Source organism: Homo sapiens, chromosome 2 (assembly GCF_000001405.40).
Source record: "Homo sapiens chromosome 2, GRCh38.p14 Primary Assembly".
NCBI lineage: Eukaryota > Metazoa > Chordata > Mammalia > Primates > Hominidae > Homo > Homo sapiens.
In genome coordinates this window covers 186,939,460-186,944,639 of record NC_000002.12, presented here as the reverse complement: position 1 = coordinate 186,944,639, position 5,180 = coordinate 186,939,460, and positions in this window count along the sequence as shown.

Sequence of the window (5,180 nt, the reverse complement as noted above, 5' to 3'; positions counted from 1 at the left end):
GACCTGGGGAAGAGGCCTATTCAGGCCTTGGAAGTGGGCTCAGGCCATTTGTACAGAGAATTGAGAGTTTCTCATCCCCTGAGATTAGTCTAGAGGTTGGGGTCAGGGGTGTACAAGGTCCAGATGGACACATCCTTTGGGCCTGACTGACTCTTCACCCCTGGTAGGTTTGACTGGAGGAGGGCCACAGTGGAGCCCTCTGAACCACGGGTTCCTAGGTAGGGTCTCTGTTACACTGGTCTAAAATTAGTACTATTCTTGGTTTGGGGGAGTCTTGGGCACAGGGCCTAGTGATTTAAGAGATTTCAAGGGTGATTTGACTACTTTACTTATAGGACCCAAGTCAGTGAATAAATCAGCATTAGCCTCATTCTTCTCACTGTATATAAGCCATGGGCGTTGTTATTTATTTATTTATTTTTAATTTAATTAATTATTTTATTTTATTTAAGACAGTCTTTCTCTATCACCCAGGTTGGAGTGCAGTGGCACGATCTCAGCTCACTGCAACCTCCGCCTCCCCAGTTCAAGTGATTCTCCGGCCTTAGCCTCCCGAGTGGCTGGGACTACAGGCACCCACCACCATGCCCGGCTAATTTTTATATTTTTAGCAGAGACGGGGTTTCACCATATTGACCAGGCTGGTCTTCAACTCCTGACCTCAGGCAATCTGCCTGCCTTGGCCTCCCAAAGTGGGATTACAGGCATGAGCCACCGTGCCCAGCCACATCCCTTAAATTCTTACTGATGCTCATAAGGCCATGATCCATATGGATGTTCCTTTAATAATCCAGTTTTTCATTGCCCATCTTCCTGACCATGTAGCCATCCACTGGCCAATGCCCATGAGTTGGAATGCACTCAGACTTTGGGGAATTGTTCAATTCTTCCATCACTGCGAGGAAACCAGCATGCAATCCAGCCACTGAGCTTATTTGTTCTCAACTTCTTCAGTTATAATTTTTGCATTATTTGGTCATAGTGCAGAGCCTTCCAAACAGGATGCTGACCATCCACTATGGAACTTGTTATCTGTAAACCAGGCAGCTTTTTGTTGATCAATCAAGGGCTGTTTATAAACCACCCTGCCCCCTGCCCTGCCTCCAAGTAGCTATACAATCTGGTAGTTCCTCAGAGGGTTCCAAAGTACGTCCTAGAGGAAATGAGGCTACCCATTCATGAATATGATGAGAACCTCCTTGCATTCCTCCAGTAGTGTGTTCTTGTATAAAATGTGCATAAGTAGGCACATTTTATACAGGAACATTTTTATTATAGTGTCATTTCCATTTCCATTTTATTACAGTGTCAGTTCTTCTGGTCAATGGCTTCCTCAGCAGAAGTTTTCTCTGAGATCACCCAAGACATCATAGGTATATCAGATTTTAAGATTATCATACGTCTTTCAGTCACACGGGTAGTTTCAATTAATGCCCAAGAAACAGCAACAAAATGATTGTCTCTCTAATGATATGTACTATATTGCCACATCTGGAAATTTTCTGGTTCCCAATTCCAGTGGTCACCATCAGGCAGCACTTACGCACTTTTTTTTTTTTTTTTTTGAGATGGAGTCTCACTCTGTTGCCCAGGCTGGAGAGCAGTGGTGCCATCTCTGCTCACTGTAACATCCACCTCCTGGGATCAAGCGATTCTTGTGCCTCAACCTCCCAAGTAGTTGGGATTACAGGTGCGTGCCACCACGCCCAGCTAATTTTTGTTTTTTCAGTAGAGATGGGGTTTCACCATGTTGGCCAGGCTGGTCTCAAACTCCTAACCTCAGATGATCTGCCCATCTTGGCCTCCCAGAGTGCTGGGATTATAAGCATGAGGCACTGTGCCCAGCCTACTTATGCACATTTTAACTTCAGTCTGTAGAAGTGTTAAGTTACAGATACTTCCAAAGTCAGAATATGGATTTTAAGGGCCCAATATCGATTCAGCCATCGCTTCTTGCAATTCAGACAGTTGGCTGTTGTGAAGACTCCTATTCAAGTACAACCTTCCTTCAGAGACTCTTCTTTCTTTTTATCTTTTGAGACAGGTTCTTGCTCTGTTGCCCAGGCTGGAGTACAGTGGTGCGATCACAGCTTACTGTAGCCTCAACCTCTTAGGCACAAATGATCCTCCCACCTCGGCCTCCCGAGTAGCTGGGACAACAGACACATGACACCGTGTCTGGCTAATTTTTGGATTTTTTGTAGAGACAGGATTTCACCATGTTGTCCAGGCTGGTCTCCAACTCCCAGGCTCAAGCAATCCACCTGCGTGGGCCTCCTAAAGTGCTGGGATTACAGGCATGATACTATTATCCTCATTTCGCACAGGTCAAAACTGAGGCTCAGATAAGATCAGAAATTTGTCCAAGGTCACAGAGTACCAAAACTCAGAGAAGAAAAGACTCCTGGTTGCCTTGTTTTCCTAATATCTATTCTTCCCTTTATTTATTAGTAAAATCTGTAAATTTTAGCTGAGCACATGGCTGCCTAGTTTAAAATCAGCATTCCCAAACCTCCCCAGGATAATCTGCAAAACTAAGTTCTGACAAATGGGATGGGAACAGAAGTCATTCATGTGCTTATAAAAAAGGGGCATGTGCTTTTGTTCTTTTCTCTTCTTCCCACTGGCTACAAATACGACTTGCTTGTGGAAACAGGAGAAACCCTGTTGATGGTAATTGCCAAACAAATCCATTCTCAGAGACAAAGTGGTACAGTGGAAAAAACACTGCCTTCAAAGTCAGAGAAGACTTCTCAGTATTACCATTTACCAGCTGTGAGATCTTAGTCACAGGACTTAAACTTTATTTGCTTCTCCACTTCTTCAGGGAATAATAAAGTGTATTTCATATTTTGTAATGAGGATTGAATGACACAATGTACATAAAGTTGATGACAGTCAGAACATGATATAAGAGCATTATTATTTCCAAAAGTAACTTTTAAAAATAAATGATGGAAAAATTTTTATTCTAAAAATTAAACATTGAATTTTGAAAAGCATGCAGGGTTTGTTTTTGATCCATACATGTTTTTCAAGTCTTACATATATATACAGACTAAAACCTGGTTAGTGAATTTTCTCTAATCACATGTAATTTTAATAATATATGGCCACAACTTTAACAGGCTACCTATGTTATTAAACTACAAAGGCAAACATAGCCAATAAGCACATTCATACACATTTTCAACTACATAGCAAATATGGGGAAAGCTCATGAAATATACATTGGAATCACTATATATTTACAGCATTTTATTTCAAATGTTTTACCTTTAGAAAATTATTTTATGAAAACTTTTGATCTGCTGAAAAATGTTTTCTGGATCAGAAAAATGTTCACCAATTCCATCTTTCAAATCGGTATCCTAATCATAAGCTAAAAGTATCCCTGCCAATCCTTTAGTCCATCCACCAGAATTTTACAGAGAATGAAACCTAAACCTGAGGTTACGTGACTTGCCCAAAGTTTTATGGATTTCTGATTCTTAACCTAGGGCCATTTTCATCAAATAGGCTCCCACTTTCTTTAGCCTTTTTTTTAACTTTTTATTTTGAAATAATTGTAAACACATTAGAACATGAAAAAAATAAAAACAGTACACAGAGAACCATGTACCCTTCACCCAGCTTCACCTAGTGATGCATCTTGTATAATTATAGAACAATAGCAACAGGAAATTAACAATGGCACAATATTGTTAACTAGACTATAGGACATAATTCAGTTTCACCATTCTTTCATGCATTTATATCTGTGTGTTTGTGTATGTGTAGGAGTGTGTAGTGTAATGCAGTTTTATCCCATGTCTAAAAAATGCTTTCACTAATGCAGCCAATGGCTGGAAGCACTGATAGCGAAATGCCAAAATGACTACATGGCTCATTTTCTTGTTTTAAGTTTTCATGTCTCATAAATCAAGTTCTGGAATTGACACAATGTCTTTCATCTCTGATTTAATGAGCCTGAGCAAATAACTAGACTAAAGATTTTGAATGTCAAATTTCCATTCCATGAAAGCAAACGGGGCAAGGTTAATAGTAGAAAATTGGTCACCTTATTTGAGGCTATCAACTTTATTATGCAAAGGAAAGCAATTAAATGATGACATCTTCACACATCCTTATAACTCCAGAAATAGACTTGTGTTTCAGGCTTTTGTGGAAAACATACTGCACTGATTATTTATGATGTGAGATCTGTGTCTACTTTGAACAGTATAAGAAAACAGACGGGTCATAAGTGGCCTTGTATGTTATACTCTATCCATTCAACAGTTTCCCTTGTCAAGTCAAACAGATGTGTTATAAAGAGATTGAGTCCATCTATGTTTAGCTCTTTCTATACATAGTCAAGATTATTTTATGAAGATACATATTGGTAATAAAATATTCACTCATTACCTCCTACAAACATAAGAAAAAAATTAAATGATTATTCTCAGAAATGTATTTTCATAGATTTGATCAAGTGTTTAAATGACATTTTATTTGATAATTATTTACAGAAGAGTTTCTTAGATTTTTCTTTTCTAGACACATCTACATTCTAGATGAATAAAAATATTTATTGTGGTGATTATTATAATGAACATCCAAACTTAAGATTAAAATTTTATATTGTACATAATAAATATTATAGATAAATATTTAATGTAAGAATAAGCAGCTGTTATTTTTGGTTATTTTCTCAAAGTTTTGCGAACTATGAAACCACAATAGACTTCACAATACAGTCTAGTGAATTATGGGATTAACCTCAAAAGCATTGATCTAAAATCACTTTTAAGACTTGGTCTTCGGCCGGGCATGGTGGCTCATGCCTGTAATCCCAGCACTTTGGGAGGCCGAGGTGGGCAGATCACCTGAGGTCAAGAGTTCAAGACCAGCCTGGCCAACATGGTGAAATCGCACCTCTACTAAAAATACAAAAATTAGCCAGGCATGATGGTGCGCACCTATAGTCCCAGCTACTTGGGAGGCTGACGCAGGAGAATCACTTGAACCTGGGAGGTGGAGGTTGCAGTGAGCCGAGATTGTGCCACTGCACTCCATCCTGGGCAACAGAACGAGATTCTGTCTCAACAACAGCAACAACAACAACAACAACAACAACAAAGACTTGATCTTTCGTTGAATTTGAAGGTGGCTAATAAGACAACTAATTATACAACTAG